Source organism: Homo sapiens, chromosome 2 (assembly GCF_000001405.40).
Source record: "Homo sapiens chromosome 2, GRCh38.p14 Primary Assembly".
In the NCBI taxonomy this organism is placed as follows: domain Eukaryota; kingdom Metazoa; phylum Chordata; class Mammalia; order Primates; family Hominidae; genus Homo; species Homo sapiens.
The window spans coordinates 109,953,243-109,976,261 of record NC_000002.12 but is presented as its reverse complement, the minus strand read 5'-3'; the positions used below and the strand labels follow the sequence as shown (position 1 = coordinate 109,976,261).

The 23,019-nt window shown below is 43.3% G+C and overlaps 1 long non-coding RNA gene and 1 pseudogene across 3 annotated transcripts in view; both read right to left on the bottom strand.

Moving 5' to 3' along the window:
* Positions 1 to 7,687: 7,687 nt before the first annotated feature.
* LIMS3-LOC440895 (LIMS3-LOC440895 readthrough) overlaps positions 7,688 to 23,019 on the bottom strand; it is a 70,143-nt gene continuing 54,811 nt past the window's right edge. Inside the window, exons 16-18 of the long non-coding RNA NR_027145.2 lie at positions 12,712 to 12,793; positions 11,460 to 11,574; positions 7,688 to 8,192 (exon numbers count right to left, since the gene is read on the bottom strand). This is a non-coding gene — a long non-coding RNA (LIMS3-LOC440895 readthrough). The remainder of the gene's footprint in view (positions 8,193 to 11,459; positions 11,575 to 12,711; positions 12,794 to 23,019) is intronic.
* Positions 7,688 to 23,019, bottom strand: part of LOC440895 (two pore channel 3 pseudogene) — a 20,885-nt pseudogene continuing 5,553 nt past the window's right edge. Inside the window, exons 2-4 of one of the 2 annotated variants that reach the window (NR_027143.3) lie at positions 12,712 to 12,793; positions 11,460 to 11,574; positions 7,688 to 8,192 (exon numbers count right to left, since the gene is read on the bottom strand). The product of NR_027143.3 is annotated as a two pore channel 3 pseudogene, transcript variant 1 (transcript). The remainder of the gene's footprint in view (positions 8,193 to 11,459; positions 11,575 to 12,711; positions 12,794 to 23,019) is intronic. The other variant, NR_027142.1, reaches the window with a different exon arrangement.

Genomic DNA, 23,019 nt, shown 5'->3' with positions numbered 1-23,019 from the left:
CTCAATGTCTAAATGTCTAAGCCTGACAGGGTATGAGCTGCTGCAATGGAACATTCTACAGTGCCTCCTGGAAGATTCCCTGCTTCTGTCTGCACCTGACATAGCCCCTACTCCTGTTCCCCAGCCCGGAGAGCTTGCCCAAGGGGCACCCGGGTGGTACTGGGCCTACCTTCTCTTTGGAAAAGGTGATGACTTCCTCATTTCAGCTCTCCATCTTCCTAGCTTGCCCCATGGAATTCCAGGGCTCTGGCACAGCATTTGCTGGACATGAGAGGGAGAAAATCTAGGGCAGGGATCTGCCCTGGGGTGGGGGTGAAGGAGTATCCTGGAAACTGGGTGTCAGGAGGGTGAGTCCCACCCAGCTGGCCAGCGCCCTGTCCCCATGACACTGCTGGGTGCACATCAGTCCTCCTATCTCCCGCACAAGCTCCCTTCCAAGGGTCGCTTTCCAGAGTGGCTACAGCGCGGTCCATGCTGTCATGGGTGATGGAACAGCCCTGGAGGCCAACATACTGCTGTGTGGGGAGCCAGGGAAGACACTTCTCTTTCCCATCACCTTTGAGGTCCAATGAGCCATCATGTCCCTGATCTCCTCACCCAGGGCCTGCACCCTCCCACCGACCTGTGCAGGGCCCAGGCCACCTGACATCGGAGCTGCCATGGGCAAAGAGCTATAAAACCAGAGGCACATACCAGCGTCCTAAAGAGACATGCACTACTGACAGACCACAGGGTGGGGCAGCCTTGTGCATGCCTTGTGCATGGATAGCCTTACTTGCCTCCCCCTTCAACCCACATGCTTCAGATGGATGAGGGCGTAGCTAGAGAGCACAGGTAAGGCAGGGCTGATGGGTTGGGACCCATCCATCTCAGCCTCTGCCACCACGCACCCCTGGCACAGAGAACCTTTTAACACTGAGTCCGTTTACTGTCACTTTGAATTGTCACAGCCCCACAGAGACCAGCCCATAGCTGGACACACCCTATCTCCCTAAAATAACCAGTTCAAGAGCACCAGACAGTGGAAGTGCTCGTGTCCTAAGGGCTTCCTGCGGGCCTTCAGCAGGACAAGGTTGTGGCCACTAGTCCTAGGAGCACAGTGCCCTGAGCCTAGGCAAAGCAAGCAGGCATTACTCATCTAAAACAGCATCAGGAAAGACACCGAGAAACCAGGATGACTTGATTTTGTATTTGTGCAGCAGCAAACTCTTGAGGGACGCTAGAGGTAGTAGATGTGTCTGTGTGACTCCCAAATATACAGCAGGAGCCGATTTGGCAGAGAGACCCCTTGCCAATGCCATGTTCAGAGTGGAGGTCGACTTGAGAGCCACTGATCTGAGCAGCATGAAGTCCCCTGACATTAGCAGCATGAAGTCCCCTGACTTCAGCCACTTAGGTGTGGATTGCTGAGGGTTCAGGGCAGACAGTGTTTGAGTTCGGGCTGGGCCCACCTGTTTTCCCTCCAAGTGGCATCACCAGGTCCAGTGGGGAAAACACTGTTGTGGGTCTACATTGATTTACCTATACTGCTCAGAGAAGCTTCCTGTGGGCTTCCATAAACTGGCTTGGGTTGGTTATTACTGGCTGCAGCAGCAATTGATTGCTCTTCCTGTACCTTGTTACCCTGGAGATGAAAATCCAGACTTGATGGGGAGAAAAGAGAAAATCTCCATCAGGAGAATCAAGTGGTCTGTTCTCCTCCTCCACTGCCATTGTCATAAAGCATGGGGTTGGCTGTGGGGTCATTTGGAGTGCAGCGGTCCAAGTATCAGGAGCAGCGTACTCTCAAAAAGACTCACGGATGTGACCAAAACTGCAGCCTCCAAGGGTTTTGAGGCCTGCAGGCTGGGAGTTCTTGGCCTAGAGCATTTCACCCCTCTCTTCATTGCTTTCCTGGATGTTCCCAGGGGTCAATCTGGGCTGTTTTTGAGGTGGGATAAAGATTTAAATTGACTCGGGGAGGAGGGAAGTTATCTAAGGGTATAAACACAATATGGTTTTTTTTTATTTTTTTCTTTTGTAACAAGATTTTTTAAAAATCTCTTATTTAACTGAGAGTCATACTTTTGTCTATTATAGTAGCTAATTTACTATTATGATAGATAATAGAATTGGGTAAATAACAAGTTCTGTTCATCACTACAAAACACACACACACACACACAGTATGTGAAAATGCTTCCTATAATTGCTGTACACCATGGCCAGAAAGACAGACTTGAAGATGTAGGTATTAATGATAATGTAGATTATAAAGTACAAAGAATACCACCAGTTGAAGTCATAGACAGGCATGCTAGAAGAAAATAATCATGTTTCATGGTTTTCCATACCCTAGTTCCACAATGCATATAAGGCTGACCTTAGGCAAAATCCCACATGCACAGTCCATGTGCACGAGGCACCAGAAAGCCTCCTGTAACATTCGCTCTCCCCCATAGGGTGTGATGGGGCCTCAGAGCCATCACCATCCCTAATGCTGAACAGCTTGCTTCACACCTGCCCTTCTGAAATTCTTAGTACCTTACAGAGGCACCAATTTTCACAGTGGCAGGACCTTAGTGATCTCCCAATTCAGTTTTCTCCCTCCACAATGAGAAAATTGAGGCCTAGAAAGGACAGTGACTTGCTAGGAATTACAAAGAGAATAAGAAGCATGGCTGGGAAGAGGGCTGTGCACTGCAAAGTCAGGTAATCCTTGCTGTGTGGAACACCCAACTGCCTTGGCTGGGGCCAGATCATATTCTAACCACCCAGGGGACGATGCATGAAAGGTACCCGGTGATAACTGTGGAAGGGCAAGTTGTGACAGGTGCTCACTCTACCTTTAATGGAAACTTAATTTCCTACAGGAGGGGACGTCAAGGGGTGCTGGCTAGGCTGTCAGCCAGGGGTCTGAGGAAAGACCCAAGAGAACATAAGCAGGGCCAGGGCCAAGGCCAGGCCCAAGAGTGAGCAACAACCAAGAACAAGTTGATCTGATGAACCTACACATCACAAGATGACAGAAAACCTGCCTCTCTGAGGTCACTATTGGAGCAGATGTGGACTGACGTTTGCAGTGAGGCTCTGCCCACTCTCTAGAGCTGGAGAGCTAGCTACTCTGTGCAGTACCACTTAATAACTTTACCCTTATGCATGAGGTAAATCCATAACAAGAAGTCATTCCATGAGGTTTTTCTCCTAAGTAATTTCCACACGTGTGGAGAATTGGCATTTTGCAAGCAAGGTGGCAATTACTGTTGGGAAAAAGCTGAGTGTTGGGAGAAGCTGAGGCAGGGCTTGCAAGTCTGACATAAGGTAAAAGAGTCTTGGAACATGTCTGGGGTCCAGGGTCTAAAACCCTTTGTGGCCTTTGGAACACCAAGCTCTGTGCTAAAGGGTGGAAGGCTACCCTGATGCACCATAATCTAAGCCCAGGGCATAAAACCCCTCGTGACTTGGACAGAATCCAGGGCTCGTGGCTCTGGAACGTGTCTACACTTGCTGGCTCCATGCTCCTTGCTCTCCCAGGATCGACTGTATCTTGAGTTAAAAGAACATGCTCTCCATTATCTCAAGTAGCAGAGCAAATGCTAAACCATCACAGGTGTAAATCATGTGCTTAATGCAATGCGCCCTTTCAACCTCCACATTCTCACCACCTGTTTCTTTGCTGGATTACCAATAAATAGCACTGGGCTCCCAGAGCTTGGGGCCTTTGCAGCCTCCATGATTGCGATGGCCCCTTGGTCCCACTTCTGTCTCTCAAACTGTCTTTTCTCAATCCTTTGACTCCGCCGGACTTTGTCACCCCCACAACCTGGTGTTGGGTCTGATCACCCCAACAATTAGTGATGTTTACATTTATTTCCTGTTTGATGTAGCCAAAAAACTGCATCAATGCTTAGGAGAACCAGACATGATTCCTTTACAAAGATGGCTTATGTCTTTAAATTCAAGACTCAAAGAAGATTCCAGAATAGAAAGTGGGCTCAAATATTAAGAATTGTATCTCAAGAGATGTCTCCTGTTCCTTTCCATTTTGAAAGAATTCATTTAAATTTAGTGTTAAGTAGAGAGGATAGGCTACTAGTGCTGTAAAATTTTATATTCTTCAAAACTTTTACAGTGAATAGGACTAAACAGAAAATCACTCTTTGTCCTCTCACAGCCCTACTAGAGTCAGGAGACAGCCGCTTTGAATAGTGTGAATTCTGTTATGGTAAAAGATGTTCATGAACACGGATCAAGGATGCGCGGACATGATGTCAGGGCTGTTCGCTGTAGTGACCAGCACGTAGAGCTCAAATGCTATCTCCAGAATGTTTTCAAACTAAGGCGATCCCTCTGCTGTTTTCAGACCACTAAAGAGGAACCAAAAACATAAAGTGAAAACCACACACGTAAATTAATACACTGATACACTTTTTCCCTTTCAAGAGCACTCCTGCAGTGTTTGAACATGGAAGATTGTGTTTGGTGACAGATTGTGCCGCCAACAGGCTCAACCTAAATATGGGAGAATTCCCAGGCAGAAACTTCCAGAGAAGTGTGCTCATCGATTCCCAAAAAGCTTCAAGGCCATCAGGCAGAACATCAGCACACTGAACATGAACAATAGAAGACATAGAGGATATTGGGCAGGGTGTTCTGGAGGCTTTGGAAAGCCCTTCAGATCTATGGAGACAAAATGTTACTTTACTTACAAGAAACCAGCTAACTTTCGGCAAAAACAAACCATCACGTATCCTAAATCATATGCTTACCTGACGACTTTCAGGGAAGTTAATTAGGAAGACCGGCCTTAAGGCCCTTGACCATCTGATGCTGTGGATGTTAATAGCTTCCAGGGACCCACAGATAATCAGATCGATCAAGGTCAGCTGTGAGAGACACAGGCCAGAGATGTCAGTATTACACTGTCCAAGGACAGTGGATGGGTGTTCACCAACCCAGGAGAGGTACAATGTTATGTGAAAAAGCACGTTTCATAGACAGCATAGTACCACTTTTGTAATACGACATTAATAATAACTAATGTTTGACGTTTTACTGTGTTCCATGTACTATAACAAGCACCTCTTGTAGATGATTTTAGACTCACCACACCAATTAGGTGGGCACTATTCCTGGAGGAGGAGCTTGAGGCACAGAGAGGGTAAGCATGTAGCCCCTGATCACACAGCTATCCAGGGCAGAGCTGGGACTGGAACCCAGACAGTCTGAGGGCTCAGCCCTTGCTATTAATCACACTGGGACATCCTTCCACACTACACCCTATTGACCTCTTCAATTTGACATGTAAAAGAAAGGAGGTGTAGCCTAGTAACAGAGATGAGAATATCTAGAATACAGACAACCCCTATTAATCTTTATTAATGTCAGGTTTATGGGCAAGAGATTAAGGTGAAGATGGCCAAAAGAAGAACCTAGTGTATTTTAGAAAAATATAAGTAGAAAAGAACAATGTACCATCATCAAAAAAACTTGAATTTAGCCCCTTTGGTGGTAAGGCACAGAGGATCTAGTGAGCTCCTTCCCCTCAAAGGGCACGCCGCACGGGACGGGTGTAGGGTCCAGCCCTACACGGTCTGTGGATTTTTCTCCTCGTGTGCAGAGATGAGAGATCGTAGAAATAAAGACACAAGACAAAGAGAAGAAAAGACAGCTGGGCCCGGGAGACCACTACCACCTAGACGCGGAGACCTATAGTGGCCCCAAATACCTGGCTGTGTTGGTATTTACTGGACACAAGGCAAAAGGGGCAGGGTAAGGAGTGTGAGTGATCTCCAATGATTGATAAGGTCACATGAGTCACGTGTCCACCGGACAGGGGGCCCTCCCTGTTTGGCAGTAAGGCAGAGAGAGAGGACAGCTTATGCCATTATTTCTTCTATGCATTTCAAAGACTTTTAGTACTTTCACTAATTCTGCTACTGCTATCTAGAAAGCAGAGCCAGGTGTACAGGGTGGAACATGAAAGTGGACCAGGAGCGTGACCGCTGAAGCACAGCATCACAGGGAGACGTTCCGGGCTCCAGATGGCTGTGGGCGGGGCTGACTGGTGTCAGGCCTTCCACAAGAGGTGGTACAGCAGTCTTCTCTAACTCCCCCAAGGAAAGGGAGACTCCATAGTGCCTTCCATTGGCACTGACGCTACCGCTAGACCGAGGTCCGCTACGTAAGGGGCGTCTTCCCAGGTGCTGGCGTTACCGCTAGACTAGGGAGCCCTCTAGTGGCCTTTTCCAGGCGTAACAGAGGGCTCACGCTCTTGTCTTCCAGTCACTTCTCACCGTGTCCCTTCAGCTCCTATCTCTGTATGGCCTGGCTTTTCCTAAGTTATAATTGTAGAACAAAGATTATTATAATATTGGAATAAAGAGTAATGTTAACAAACTAATGATTAATGATATTCATATATAATCATATCTATAATCTATTTCTAGTATAACTATTCTTATTCTGTATATTTTCTTTATTATACTGGAACAGTTTTTGCCTTCAGTCTCTTGCCTTGGCACCTGAGTGGCTTGCCGCCCACAGGCGGGGGAAACAGCTAAGAAATGAGGCTGGTTCACAACTGCCGCACTGGAGGAAACCAGTGTGGCTGTCCCAGGGGAGCGAGGACAGGTGGATCACCAAGGGTTAAGATATTTGACGGGCTTCATGGAGGAGGCACTCTTTGATGTAACCTACAGCACAGCAGAGCTTTAATAAAAACTCAGGAAGGTCAAGAGCTAGACAAGAAGATAGAATAAAAGGACTCTTGAGGAAGTACTGGGCTGGCATGTTGGGAAGCAGAGGGTCCTGGGAGTGGCGGCAAAGGGAAGCAGCAGAAAGTGATAAGGACCTATGGAAGGTGGCTTTGCAGGCCAGGCTAAAAAGGCAGGTCTCATTCCCAGGGCCTTTCAAATAACAGATGGAGCAAAGGAGTGAGAGGACAGCACAGGAGGCTGCATGAATATATCACATTCTACTTAAGACATATGTCTTATAATTTTTGTCTGGAAATCAGGTTGTTTCCAATTTTTCAATATTATAAACCGTCAGCCACCACCAATTTTGTGGCTAAATCTCTGAATGCATCCTTCTTTCCTACAGATAAATTCCCAGGAATGGAAGTCCAGGGTTAAAATATATTCACCTTCAAGGCTTTTGAAAGGAGCTGCCAAAGAGCCTTCCAGAAAGACAGTTTTATTCCTCTCTCCTGTAGGGTGTAAGAACATTTGTTTTATGGCAAAGACATGGAAGCAACTTGGGTGCTCATCAATGGTGGGTTAGGCAAAGAAAATGTGGTACATATACACCATGGAATACTATGCAGTCATTTAAAAAGAATGAAATTATGTCCTTTGCAGTAGTATGGATGCAGCCAGAGGCCATCATCCTAAGTGAATTAACAGAGAACAGAAAACCAAATACTGCATGTTGTCACTTATAAGTAGGAGCTAAACACTGGGTACTCATGGACACAAAGATGGCAACAGTAGACACTGGGGATTCCTGAGGGGAAGGGACAGAGGAGGGGAAGGGTTGAAAAACTACCTGCTGGATTCTAGGCTCACTACCTGAGTGATGGGATCAGTTGTACCCCAAACCTCACCATCACGAAATATACCCATGTAACAAACCTGCACATGTACCACCTGAATCTAAACTAAAAATTGAAATTACAAAAAGTTTGTTTTCAATCTTGCTAAGATTGTTTTATAGGCAAACACATGGTATTTTATTGTCGTTTTATTCTATAATTTTTAATTAGTGACGTTAAACATCTTTCCTATCGGCCATTTTACATATTTTTTCCTTATGAGTTGCCTTCACTTATCTTCAGCAAAATTATCTATTGAGATATCTTTTTTTTCCTGTAATTTGGAAGTGCTCTTGATATGCTGAAATGTCTGCACTGCCACATTTTGCCCTATTTGTTCTTCAGTTTGCGGTTTGCTTGCAGTTGTGCTTATGGCGTTCACTGTATGGAAGTGTTGTTGTTTCATCAAAAGCAAATCTATTGAGTCTTTTTTCTTCATGGCTCCTGCCTTCGGTCATAAACTCTTACAGGTACTACAATGAACACTCGCCACTGTGGTTACCATGGTGCAGATGTCTTTTGTATCCTTCCAGAAAACCATTTGAGGAGTGACTTTTGCAAAATGTACCAGTCTGCCAAAGTATGCAGTCAGGCAGAGTACTTCTGCTATTGAGGTGGCCTGCAAGGAGAAAACAGAGGCTGAGCACGAGGGCTTGCCATGGGGAGGCTCAGCTTTAGTTATCCAGTACCACCCCCTGTCCCCTGCCACTACCCTACCTTTCCTGCCTGGCACCCTCTGAGAATTTGCCATGTCCCTTAATTTTACTGAAAATTGCAGCAACATTTTCTGCCGGTTAGAATGGCTTCTTCCTCTGAAAGGGAAATCTGCCACTGAGTCACAATCTCCATGACCCACACTGGCAGGGATTCCTGGGAGGGGCTGCACCAGCAGGCTGAGGACCAAGAACACATTTCCCCAGAAAAGGGGGAGGTCAGAGGCAGAGATCGTCTATGCTCTCAAATTCCCCATGTTCAAATTCCAGACACCTAGAAGTCCCATTTCTCTAACGGTAAGGTAATTCCCCAAAGATGTGTTTGGGAATAATGGGTCCTTCCATAAACATCACTGCCACTGCAGCCCTGCTGCCTATATGAGGCTGGTTAGAGACGAGGATGGAGCCCACTGAGATCAAGACCGAAGTCCTGATGGGCCTCCCTCTGTAGATTACGGGTGCCAACTCCAGACTCCTGTACCTGCTAGACTTGAAGCCCATGACTGCAGCCCAAGGTTTGCCTGAGGCTGTTGGGATGCAGTAACAACTTCCTAACAAGGGCACGTTCCTCCATCAATAGGGAGAGACAGGTGGAAGATAGGAAGAGATGGAGAAAGGGACAACTTGACTTAGGCTAAAAAGAGGGAAAAGTCTTGAGTGAGAGCTAGAGACAGGAGGAAGGGGCTGGCTGTGGGCCTGAAAGCAGCAGGGGACACTATCATTGCCCCCTAGTTCCAGCCCTCATGGGTCTGTGCACAGACTGGGCTGCAGCCCCTTGCAAATGTTCTAGCTCTCAGTCTGTTGACTCTTGAAGAGCTATAGAGACCCAATGTCAAGTCCAGCTTTGCAAAAGGGCCTTAGGCAATTTCAGGACATCCTTGCTTAAAACAAGACTTGCGTGGTAATGCTGGATGGGGGCCAAAGCCCTCAGAACACACTGGACTTTGGAGATTTACAGTACAAGGGCTGGCTGAAGGAACACTCTGAAACTCAGGCAGCCAACCCAAAGTTATACATGACCAATAACAGACAGGGGATGAGGACTCAGGAAAAGAGGCAAATGGCTAAGAAGACCACTCTGTGGGATTCCTACCTTGGCCAGAGTGGACCAGTGCTAAGGAGGGATAGACAACACTCTGTCCAGGTTTGTGAATGCACAGCTCTGTTTCTTCAGATTTTGTGTTTGTGTTGACTGTTATTGGGATAAAAGTCTTCTATCCAGAGAATTCATTAATTGCCGGATCTTTATTGTAAGACAGTTGGTGGATGTCACTTGGGCAGCCCCAGTGAGCCATACTTACAGTTTTCACCCCCTTTGCAGTGGCCTCCCAAGTTGACTCAGGTTTTGGCATGTGATTGACAACAGGACATCAGCAAGTATGATGCAAGCAGAGGTTTGATGGTGCAGCACACTGGGATGCTCCTTCCTGGACCCAGCCACCCACTGGGAAAAGCCTAAGCCACGTGGAGCAGCTACATAGAAGAGGGCCGGGGCCACAGCTACAGCCAGCAGCTCCTGCCAGCCACGTGAGAGAGCTACCTTGATGTTCCAGCCTCCAGAGATCTAAGAGCTTCCAGACATCTACCACCCCAGCCACACCACCTGAGCCAATGTCCCACAGAGTCATGGGAGATAATAAAAGGCTGTTGTTCTCTAAAGCTAGGGGTTAGTGAACTCTTTCTGTTAAAGTAAACATGTGAAGCTTTGCAAGTCTTACAGTCTCTGTCACAACCACTAAACTGTTGATGTAGCTCCAAAGCAGCCAAAGACAACACATAAATTAATAAGTGTGGCTATGTTCCCATAAAACATTATTTGCAGACAGCAAAATTTGTATTTCATATCACTTCCATGTGTCACAAAATATTAATCTTCAGTGTCCTTTTTCCTAGTCATTTTAAAATGTAAAAACTATTTGTCTTAGTCTGATCAGGCTGCTATAAAAGAATACCATAGACTGGGTGGCTCATAAACAACAGAAATTTATTTCTCACAGCTCTGGAGGCTGGGAAGTCCAAGATCAAAGCACTGTCAAATTTGGTGTCTGATGAGGGCCCACTTTCTGGTTCACAGACAGCCATTTTTTTTGTGGCGTTCTCACTTGACAGAAGGGGCAAGGGAGCTCCTTGAAGCATCTTTTATGAGGGGACTAATCCCATTCATGAGATGGGCTCTGCCCTCATGATCTGATCACCTCCAAATACCTCCACACTGGGACTAGGTTTTGAAATACGAATTTTGGGAACACACAAACATTCCATTTGTAGCACCATTCTTAGCTCATAGGCTGTACAAAAATAAGCAGCAGCTGAATTTGTCCCACAGGCCATGGTTTCCCAACCCTTGTTTTAAGTGTTTGAGTTTTAGGATGGTTTGTAAATATGTTTGTGCAATTGATAACTGAAATAAGGAAGAATAAAAAAGGGTCTGTGTGGTTGTTAAAAAGCAAAAGCTTTGAAATCAGGCTTAGGCTTGAAGCCTAGTTCTGCCTTTGTTGCCTAGTAACCTTGGACAAGTTATACAATCTTTCTAGGCTCAGCTTCCTTATCTGTTAAAATGGGTATAATAACAGCAGGCACATCCCATTGAGTCCCTGTAAGGCTTAAGGAGAATACAGAGAAAGCATTGAGATCACCCAGCAGATAGCAAGCAGGGAGCAAATGACAGCTATTAAGACAGAGGTAAGAGTAATGACGAATCAGAAATCAACATGGGCAGGGCACTGGTCTACTATTTAGACCTCTCTGGATTGGCTGGTGAATTTGATACATTACTCAAAATCAAATGTGATCAGCCCCTAAGCACCAATAAATACTCTAATAATTTATGACTATGAAAAAAAGCTGAAAATGTGGCATGTACAAGTTGCATATTACACTATATGAGAACATCATCTACTTGGCAGTAAGTAAATTGGCTTTGAAAACATCATTGAACCATCTCTGATTTTGTGTGTGTGTGCACAGAAGACCAAAATCTCCCACTGCACTTAAAATGCGTTATGAAGGAAGCATGTGTTTGGTGAGTAGACAGAACTTCTCTAATCCCCCAGCAAAAAAAATAAATAACATCTAATTCATATTTGTTGAAATTTGAGGGGAAAAAAAGAAGAGGCACAAGGCCCAATCATCTATGACCAAATCTGGCTAGCCATCTGCTATGGCTTGCTTACCAAGAAAGGCAGGGGAAGCAACTCAGGCTCTTCAAACAGGGCAAGAGCGAGGTCTACACAAATAAAGAAGTATGCGGCAACCTGCGTTGTCTAGTGGTTATAAAAATAGTAACGTCTGGAGGAGAAAAAGACAAAAGTGATTATAAACAACGAACAGGAGCTACACAGCACCCAAACATCTCTTTAAAGAACTAATGCTGGGTAAAATAAGAAAGTTAAGGCTTAGTCATGTTTCCTTTAAATTCTAGGGAGCAGGAGGCAGTATTTAATGATCATATACTATAAACACTAACACAAAAAAATCAAGCATATGATCATAACTCAAAGCACATTTTCTTAACAGTCTCAAGCTAAGATTATACCTTCCCATGGGGTTGTTGTGATAGTAATAAGAGAATACTTGCAGAGGACTTGAACAGTGACGGACACAGATTAAACCCTCAGTTAAAGTGGCCCATTATGATGTGGCATGGTGGCCTAACCCAATTTTAAAATGTACATCATCCCATCTTAACATGATAGACTCAGAAGAGATCTGGCAAAAGGTCATGCCAGTCTCTCCCCAGGTGGGGACAGTACCCCAAACATGCTCGGCAACATCCAGGGATGAGGTATTGGCTGCCTTGGGAGGCCCTGAGGCTGAGCCCTAGTGATAAACAGGCTGAGCACCTGTAGGGGGTGACAGAGAAAAAGCTGAATTCCCATGAGAAGAGCAAACATATGGATTGCATCACAAAACAATGGACAGGACAAAAAAGCCTTTTCACTTGAGGTAACTCTAAGAGGATGACATAAAAGGAAAAGACAATGGCAAGTTCTTCCCTTGAATGCCCTAGCTTCTATGCTGGGTATTGCTCATTTTACTCATTTGTCTGATCTTAATCTATTTATTGAATGCTTCCCTGCGTGTGAGGCCCATGCTCTTATAACTCAAAAAAAAAAAAAAAATTCAGCCAGGCATGGTGGCTCACATATCTAATCCCAGGCCTTGGTGGGAGGATCACTTGAGCCCAGGAGTTCAAGGCTGCAGTGAGCCATGATCACACCACTGAACTCCAGCCCAGGCAACAAAGCAAGACCCTGTCTCAAAAAAAAAAAAAAAAGTATTGGATTACGTCCAAATCTATGTGCTGTACCCTATATACTTCTCAAAATATCTGTGTAAACAATGCCTTCAGTTTGGGTTCAAGTTCAAGAGTATCAAGTGCTGAAGGACAGGTGGTTCTACATGATGGTTTAACATGTTAGTTACCTGATGGCCTGAGGTGAGTTTCAAATGGAACATTTCTGTTGTACTGGGCATCCAAAACATAGGCAGCTGCCAGGAGAAGGTCCTGTTCCCCATTGAGACAGAGTAAGGGAGACCAAGTCAGAGGAGGAGAGGATACTTTTCTTTTTCCTTTGTTAAGTATGCACTGAGTATAAAAGGAAGCTCCCCTTCGCCTCTCCACAGACCCACTCTCCCAGAGGTAGCCAACATCTAAACAGTGTTGTCTCCACACCTCCAATGTCTCTTTGAGCACCGAGAATCCTGCAGTGGGACCAGGTCCAGACACACTCCACTTTCTTGAATTCAAATATAGGCTCTCAGAGGAAATGTAAATAAGCATTGACTAGAGCATGTATTTGTACCTAAATGGTATATTCATACATACATATATTAATATATGGTTAGGTACACATGTATATACAAATATATATACGGTCATGTGCCCCATAACATTCTGGTCAACAATGAACCACATATATAACAGGGTTCCCATAAGATTATAATGAGCTGAAAAATTCCTACCACCTAGTGAGGTCATAGCACAACAAAATACAAAATTGTGGTGATGCTGGTGTCAACAAACCTCCACGGCCAGTCGTATAAAATTCTAGCACATACAATTATGTATGGTACATAATATTTGATAATGATAATAAATGATTATGTTACTGGTTTATGTATTTACTACACTATACTTTTTATGGTTATTTTAGATTGCACTCCTACTTATTAAAAAAAAAAGTTAACTGTAAAACAGCCTCAGGCAAGTCCTTCAGGAGGATTCCAGAAGAAGGCATTGTTATTCCAGGAGGTGACAGCTCCATAAGTGTTATGGCCCCTGAAGACCTTCCAGTGGGATGAGATGCAGAAGTGGAAGACAGTGATATTGAGGGTCCTGACCCTGTGTAGGCCTAGGCCAATGCATACGTTTGTGTCTTAGTTTTTAATAAAGAGTTTATGAAGTTAACATTTTTTAAGTTTAAAAATAGAAAAAAGCTTATAGGATAAGGATATAAAGAAAGAAAATATTTAGTATAGCTATGCAATGTGTTTTAAGCTGCTATTGCAAAAGAATCAAAACGTTTATAGAGTAGAAAATTTATAGTAAGCTAAGGTTAATTTGTTATTGAAGAAAGAAAAATATTTTTTATAAATGTAGTCAACTGTACAGTGTTTCTAAAGTCTACAGTAGTGTGCAGTGATTCCTAGACCTTCACATTTACTCACCACTCATTCACTGACTTACCCAGGACAACTGCCAGTCCCGCAGGCTCCATTCATGGGAAGTGCCCTATTCATCTTTTACCTTTTATACCATATTTTTACTGTACCTTTTCTATGTTGAGATACACGAATACACCATTGTGTTACAGTTACCTGCCATATTCAGTACAGTAATATGCTCTACAGGTTTGTAGCCTAGAAAAATAGTCTACAGCCTAGGTGTCTAGTAAGTTATGCCATTTAAGTTTGTGTAAGTACATTGTATGATATTTGCACAATGATGAAATCCCCTAGTGATCCATTTCTCAGAATATATCCCTGTTGTTAAGTGACGCATTACTGTATATATACATATACATACAAACAAATCTGTAACACAAAATTATATACTATGTGTATTTACACTACCTAATATATTTATATACATATAAACACAAAACACAAAATTCCTTTTATATTTGCAAGTTTTGCCAAAGATGTGGAGCAACTGGAACTCTCATACGTTGCTGGTTGGAATAGAAAATGGCACATTTACTTTGGAAGACAGTTTGGTAGTTTCTTAAAACGTTAAAAAGTATGACCCAGCCATGCTACTTTGAAGTGTTTTCCAAAAGGAAAGACAGCATATGTCCACACAAAGACTAGTACATCCACCCCAAGTATGTGGCTCATGTGAGACACCTCATCCCAAAGCTGCACACATACACATACGTTCATCCCAGCTTAACAGCCCAAAACTAGAAACCAAAATGTCCACAGACAGGTGAGTGGATAAACAAAGTGTACTGTATCTCTACAATGGAATACTACTCAGCAATAAAAAGGAATGAGTAACTAATAGATGTAACAAAATGGATGAATCTCAAAATAACTGTGCCGAGTGAAAGAAGCCAACCACCCCCCGAAAAGAGTACTCACTGTATGATTCCATCTGCATAAAATTCTGGAAAATGAAAACTAACCTACAGTGACAGAACCCACATCAGTGGTCGTGTGTTGGCAGGGGGAGGAAGATGGGAACAGGCTGGGCATGGTGGCTCATGCCTATAATCCCAGCACTTTGGGAGGCTGAGGTGGGCAGATCACTTGAGGTCGGGAGTTTGAAACTAGCCTGGCCAACAAGACGAAACCCCGTCTCTATTAAAAATACAAAAACTAGCCGGGCATGGTGCCATGCACCTGTAATCCCAGCTACTTGAGAGGCTGAGGCAGGAGAATAGCTTGAACTCGGGAGGCGGAGGTTGCAGCGAGCCGAGATTGTGCCATTGCACTCTAGCCTGGGCGACAGAGAGAGATTCCGTCTCAAAAAAAAAAAAAAAAAAAAAAAAGAGTGGAACGAAGAGAACTGAGAGAGAGAGAGATTACAAACAGGCATAAGAAAACATATAGGGGTGACTGATATGTTCATTATTCTTATCATGGCATTACTATCCCAAGGGCATTCATACACCAAAACTCATCAAGCTGCATACTTCAAATAAATGTAGTTTAGTGTATGTCTATTATAATCTAAAAAAGCTGTTAAAATGCCCAAAATGAAAGACAAATACTTGGATTAAAAAAGTTGATGTAGAACAATAATCTCATAGATGAATTAACTGCCGTAAGAGCCGATCGCTTTTTGAGTAACAGGTATGCTCAGGGTTGGTATGGCAATTCTTACAGGCAGTTTATTAAAATCTAAGAAGCACCATGTAAATGTGTTTAACACTTATCACACATTTTTCTTTTTTTTTTCCTTTTCGAGATAGAGTTTCACTTTGTCACACAGGCTGGAGTGCAGTGGCACAATCTCGGCTCACTGCAAACTCTGCCTCCCGGTTTCAAGCGATTCTCCTGCCTCAGCCTCCTGAGTAGCTGGGATTACAGGCACGCACCACCATGCCAGTCTAGTTTCTCTAATTTTAGTAGAGACAGTGTTTCACCATGTTGGCCAGGCTGGTCTCAAACTCCTAACCTCAAGTGATCCGCCTACCTCGGCCTCCCAAAGTGCTGAGATTACAGGCGTGACCCACAATGCCCAGCCAAACATTTTTCTTTTACATATTTAAAAAACATTCTAGTAGGAAAACCATTAATATCAATTATTTTTTTCATTGAAAATCTTTAACACTGAGGAAGAATACAGTTCCCAGGACATGCTTAGAAATATATTTTAGGTAGAAAATGCCTCGCATCAGCAAGAGTTGATTTTTTTTTTTTAATGAACACACACCAACTTTAAGAAAATTCCATTAAGCCTCAAAAAGATCATACTTGAAGAGTTCTGACATTGAGGCTTTTTAAAAAAATTGCTGGCAAAGATCTTTTAAGGCCACTGTTGTCCCCAGTGATGCTACAAACATCCTTACAGTCCCAGTGAGGCCATTTGTCCACAAACATAAGCAGTTCAACACTCACGGATTTGAGATGCATCCTTCATATGCCCTCCAGGTAGAGAAAGGAAAAAAACACTCACCAGCAATGCCTCAGCCAGTCAGGCCCTCGGGGTCATCTCCATGAGACAGATCCCAGACCCCAGACATTGAATGACCAGCACCTCATCACCCCCACCAACTGCCATCTGAACTCATCCTTGCTGTTTTAAAATCTGCTGATTCTATCATAATAGCCATTTCACCCTTACACTAACGTTTCAAAGCTTTCCCATTCTTAACTGGTATTACATTTCTGACATCTATCTCCTTTTAAAATCGCATCTCCTTTATGCTTTGGTTCTAATTGCCTTCCTTCTCCTCCTCCCTCCCATTTGTGCGCAACTTCTAAGTGTCCTGCGTTCCGTGTGGGAAGCGGTACTCTTAGAAGACAGACTTTACTGTAATAAGCATGTTTATTTGAACTAAGGCCATTTGTATTTTCCCATAAAACAAACTGTTTTTACCCAACCCAAGAATGTGGATTATGTTAGACACCCCATTCCACAACTTCACATACTTTTCAAGTTTACATGCGAACCACTGTCCATATCTACCATGAAAATAGCAAAGACCAAATAGCAGATGTTTCCCCAGATGCAGCTTAAATGTGGCTGCAAACCTCAAAACAGCATCCCAACTATGGGAGGCATTGGCAACTGTGGGAGTGGTGATTCTCAATCCCCACAGCATATGACAATCATCTTAACAACTTTTAAAGATCCTACTGAAGTCCAGGTCACATGCAGACCCCAACTGCATCAGAACCTCTGGGAGGTAGAACCCAGGATTAATCTTTAATTATTATTATTAAGTTCTAGGGTACATGTGCACAACGTGCAGGTTACACATGTATACATGTGCCATGTTGTTTTGCTGCACTCATTAACTCGTCATTTACATTAGGTATTTCTCCTAATGCTATCCCTCCCCCATCCCCCCAACCCATGACAGGCCCCAGTGTGTGACGTTCTCCGTCTTGTGTCCAAGTGTTCTCATTGTTCAACTCCCACCTATGAGTGAGAACATATGGTGTTTGGTGCTCTGTCCTTGCGATAGTTTGCTCAGAATGATGGTTTCCAGCTTCATCCATGTCCCTACAAAGGACATGAACTCATCCTTTTTTATGGCTGCATAGTATTCCATTGTGCATTTGTGCCACATTTTCTTAATCCAGTCTATCACTGATGGACATTTGGGTTGGTTCCAAGTCTTTGCTATTGTGAATAGTGCCACAATAAACATATGTGTGCATGTGTCCTTATAGTAGCATGATTTATAATCCTTTGGGTATATACCCAGTAATGGGATTGCTGGGTCAAATGGTATTTCTAGTTCTAGATCCTTGAGGAATCGCCACACTGTCTTCCACAATGGTAGAACTAATTTACACTCCCACCAACAGTGTAAAAGCATTCCTATTCTCCCCATCCTCTCCAGCACCTGTTGTTTCCTGACTTTTTAATGATTGCCATTCTAACTGGTGTGAGATGGAATCTCACTGTGGTTTGGATTTGCATTTTTCTGACGACCAGTGATGATGAGCATTTTTTCATGTGTCTGTTGGTTGCATAAATGTCTTCTTTTGAGAAGTGTCTGTTCATATCCTTTGCCCACTTTTTGATGGGGTTGTTTGATTTTTTCTTGTAAATTTGTTTAAGTTATTTGTAGATTCTGGACATTAGCTCTTTGTCAGATGGCTAGATTGCAAAAATTTTCTCCCATTCTGTAGGTTGCCTTTTCACTCTGATGGCATTTTCTTTTGTTGTGCAGAAACTCTTTAGTTTAATTAGATCCCATTTGTCTCTTTCGGCTTTTGTTGCCATTGCTTTTGGTGTTTTAGTCATGAAGTCCTTGCCCATGTCTATGTCCTGAATGGTATTGCCTAGGTTTTCTTCTAGGGTTTTTATGGTTTTAGGTCTAACATTTAAGCCTTTAATCCACCTTGAATTAATTTTTGTATAAGGCATAAGGAAGGGATCCAGTTTCAGCTTTCTACATACGGCTAGCCAGTTTTCCCAGCACCATTTATTAAATAGGGAATCCTTTCCCCATTGCTTGTTTTTCTCAGGTTTGTCAAAGATCAGATGGTTGTAGATGTGTGGTGTTATTTCTGAGGCCTCTGTTCTGTTCCATTGGTCTATATCTCTGTTTTGGTACCAGTACCATGCTGTTTTGGTTACTGTAGCCTTGTAGTATAGTTTGAAGTCAGGTAGCGTGATGCCTCCAGCTTTGTTCTTTTTGCTTGGGATTGTCTTGGCAATGAGGGCTCTTTTTTGGTTCCATATGAACTTTAAAGTAGTTTTTTCTAATTCTGTGAAGAAAGTCATTGGTAGCTTGATGGGGATGGCATTGAATCTATAAATTACCTTGGGCAGTATGGCCATTTTCACAATATTGATTCTTCCTGTCCATGAGCATGGAATGTTCTTCCATTTGTTTGTGTCCTCTTTTATTTCATTGAGCAGTGGTTTGTTGTTCTCCTTGAAGAGGTCCTTCACGTCCCTTGTAAGTTGGATTCCTAGGTATTTTTTTCTCTTTGTAGCAATTGTGAATGGGAGTTCACTCATGATTTGGCTCTCTGTCTGTTATTGGTGTATAGAAATGCTTGTGATTTTTGCACATTGATTTTGTCTCCTGAGACTTTGCTGAAGTTGCTTATCAGCTTAAAGAGATTTTGGGCTGAGATGATGGGGTTTTCTAAATATACAATCATGTCATCTGCAAACAGGGACAATTTGACTTCCTCTTTTCCTAATTGAATACCCCTTATTTCTTTCTCTTGCCTGATTGCCCTGGTCAGAACTTCCAACACTATGTTGAATAGGAGTGGCGAGAGAGGACATCCCTGTCTTGTGCCAGTTTTCAAAGGGAATGCTTCCAGTTTTTGCCCATTCAGTATGATATTGGCTGTGGGTTTGTCATAAATAGCTCTTAGTATTTTGAGATACATTTCATCAATACCTAGTTTATTGAGAGATTTTAGCATGAAGGGATGTTGAATTTTGTCAAAGGCCTTTTCTGCATCTATTGAGATAATTGTGTGTTTTTTGTCTTTGGTTCTGTTTATGTGATAGATTACATTTATTAATTTGTGTATGTTGAACCAGCCTTGCATCCCAGGGGTGAAGCCAACTTGATCTTGGTGGATAAGCTTTTTGATGTGCTGCTGGATTCAGTTTGCCAGTATTTTATTGAGGATTTTCGCACCGATGTTCATCAGGGATATTGGTCTAAAATTCTCTTTTTTTGTTGTGTCTCTGCCAGGCTTTGGTATCAGGATGATGCTGGCCTCATAAAATGAGTTATGGAGGATTGCCTCTTTTTCTATTGATTGGAATAGTTTCAGAAGGAATGGTACCAGCTCCTCTTTGTACCTCTGGTGGAATTCAGCTGTGAATCGGTCTGGTCCTGGACTTTTTTCGGTTGGTAGGCTATTAATTACTGCCTCAATTTCTGAGCCTGTTATTGGTCTATTCAGGGATTCGACTTCTTCCTGGTTTAGTCTTAGGAGGGTGTATGCATCCAGGAATTTATCCATTTCTTCTAGATTTTCTAGTTTACTTGTGTAGAAGTATTGATAGTATTCTCTGATGGCAGTTTGTATTTCTGTGGGATCGGTGGTGATATCCTCTTTATCATTTTTTATTGCATCTATTTGATTCTTCTCTCCTTTCTTCTTTATTAGTCTTGCTAGCGGTCTATCAATTTTGTTAATCTTTTCAAAAAACCAGCTCCTGGATTCAATGATTTTTTCAAGGTTTTTTTTCTGTCTCTATCTTCTTCAGTTCGGCTCTGATCTTAGTTATTTCTTGTCTTCTGCTAGCTTTTGAATGTGTTTGTTCTTGCTTCTCTAGTTCTTTTAATTGTGATGTTAGGGTGTCGATTTTAGAACTTCCCTGCTTTCTCTTGCGGGCATTTAGTGCTATAAATTTCCCTCACATGCTGCTTTAAAAGTGTCCCAGAGATTCTGGTACATTGTGTCTTTGTTCTCGTTGGTTTCAAAGAACATCTTTGTTTCAGCCTTAATTTCGTTATTTACCCAGTAGTCATTCAGGAGCAGGTTGTTCGGTTTCCATGTAGTTGTGCGGTTTTCAGTGAGTTTCTTAGTCATGAGTTCTAATTTGATTGCGCTGTGGTCTGTGAGACAGTTTGTTGTAATTTCTGTTCTTTTACATTTGCTGAGGAGTGCTTTACTTCCAACTAAGTGGTCAATTTTGGAGTAAGTGCGATGTGGTGCTGAGAAGAATGTAGATTCTGTTGATTTGGGGTGGAGAGTTCTGTAGATGTCTATTAGGTCTGCTTGGTGCAGAGCTGAGTTCAAGTCCTGGATATCCTTGTTAACCTTCTGTCTCGTTGATCTGTCTAAAATTGACAGGGGGTTGTTAAAGTCTCCCATTATTATTGTGTGGGAGTCTAAGTCTCTTTCTAGGTCTCTAAGGACTTGCTTTATGAATCTGGATGCTCCTGTATTGGGTGCATATATATTTAGGATAGTTAGCTCTTCTTGTTGAATTGATCCCTTTACCATTATGTAATGGCCTTCTTTCTCTTTTGATCTTTGTTGGTTTAAAGTCTGTTTTATCAGAGACTAGGATTGCAACCCCTGCTTTTTTTTTGCTTTCCATTTGCTTGGCAGATCTTCCTCCATCCCTTTATTTTGAGCCTATGTGTGTCTCTGCATGTGAGATGGGTATCCTGAATACAGCACACTGATGGGTCTTGATTCTTTATCCAATTTGCCAGTCTGTGTCTTTTAATTGGGGCATTTAGCCCATTTACCTTTAAGGTTAATATTGTTATGTGTGAATTTGATCCTGTAATTATGATGTTAGCTGGTTATTTTGCCTGTTAGTTGATGCAGTTTCTTCCTAGCATCGACGGTCTTTACAATTTGGCATGTTTTTGCAGTGGCTGGTACCGGTTGTTCCTTTCCATGTTTAGTGCTTCCTTCAGGAGCTCTTGTAAGGCAGGCCTGGTGGTGACAAAATCTCTCAGCATTTGTTTGTCTGTTAAGGATTTTATTTATCCTTCATTTATGAAGCTTAGTTTGGCTGGATATGAAATTCTGGGTTGAAAATTCTTTTCTTTAAGAATGTTGAATATTGGCCCCCACTCTCTTCTGGCTTGTAGTTTCTGCCGAGAGATCCGCTGTTAGTCTGATGGGCTTCCCTTTGTGGGTAACCCGGCCTTTCTCTCTGGCTGCCCTTAACATTTTTTCCTTCATTTCAACTTTGGTGAATCTGACAATTATGTATCTTGCGGTTGCTCTTCTCGAGGAGTATCTTTGTGGTGTTCTCTGTATTTCCTGAATTTGAATGTTGGCCTGCCTTGCTAGGTTGGGGAAGTTCTTCTGGATAACATCCTGACAAGTGTTTTCCAGCTTGGTTCCATTCTCCCCATAACTTTGAGGTACACCAATCAAACATAGATTTGGTCTTTTCACATAGTCCCATATTTCTTGGAGGCTTTGTTCATTTCTTTTTACTCTTGTTTCTCTAAACTTCTCTTCTCACTTCATTTCATTAATTTGATTTTCAATCACTGATACCCTTTCTTCCACTTGATCGAATTGGCTACTGAAGCTTCTTCATGCGTCACATAGTTATTGTGCCACGGTTTTCAGCTCCATCAGGTCATTTAAGGTCTTCTCTACGCCGTTTATTCTAGTTAGCCATTCGTCTAATCTTTTTTCAAGGTTTTTAGCTTCCTTGCGATGGGTTCAAACATCCTCCTTTAGCTCAGAGAAGTTTGTTATTACCGACCTTCTGAAGCCTATTTCTGTCAACTCGTCAAAGTCATTCTCTGTCCAGCTTTGTTCCGTTGCTGGTGAGGAGCTGCAATCCTTTGGAGGAGAAGAGGTGCTCTGGATTTTACAATTTTCAGATTTTCTGCTCTGGTTTCTCCCCATCTTTGTGGTTTTATCTACCCTTGGTCTTTGATGATGGTGACCTACAGATGGGTTTTTGGTGTGGATGACCTTTTTGTTGATGTTGATGCTATTTCTTTCTGTTTGTTAGTTTTCCTTCTAACAGTCAGGTCCCTCAGCTGCAGGTCTGTTGGAGTTTGCTGGAGGTCCACTCCAGACCCTGTTTGCCTGGGTATCACCAGCGGAGGCTGCAGAACAGCAAATATTGCAAAACAGCAGATGTTGCTGCCTGATCCTTCCTCTGGAAGCTTTCTCTCAGAGGGGCACCTGGCTGTATGAGGTGTCAGTCGGCCCCTACTGGGAGGTGTCTCCAAGTTAGGCAACACGGGGGTCAGGGACCCACTTGAGGAGGCAGTCTGTCCATTCTCAGAGCTCAAACATTGTGCTCGGAGAACCACTGCTCTCTTCAGACAGTGATGTTTTAAATCTGCAGAAGTTTCTGCTGCCTTTTGTTCAGCTATGCCCTTCCCCCAGAGGTGGAGTCTACAGAGGCAGGCAGGCCTTGTTGAGCTGTGGTGGGCTCCACCCAGTTCAAGCTTCCTGGATGCTTTGTTTACCTACTCAAGCTTCAGCAATGGTGAATGCCCGTCCCCCAGACAGGCTGCAGCCTCACAGTTCGATCTTGGACTGCTGCGCTAGCAGTGAGCAAGGCTCCGTGGGTGTGGGACCCACTGAGCCAGGGGCGGGATATAATCTCCTGGTATGCCATTTGCTAAGACCATT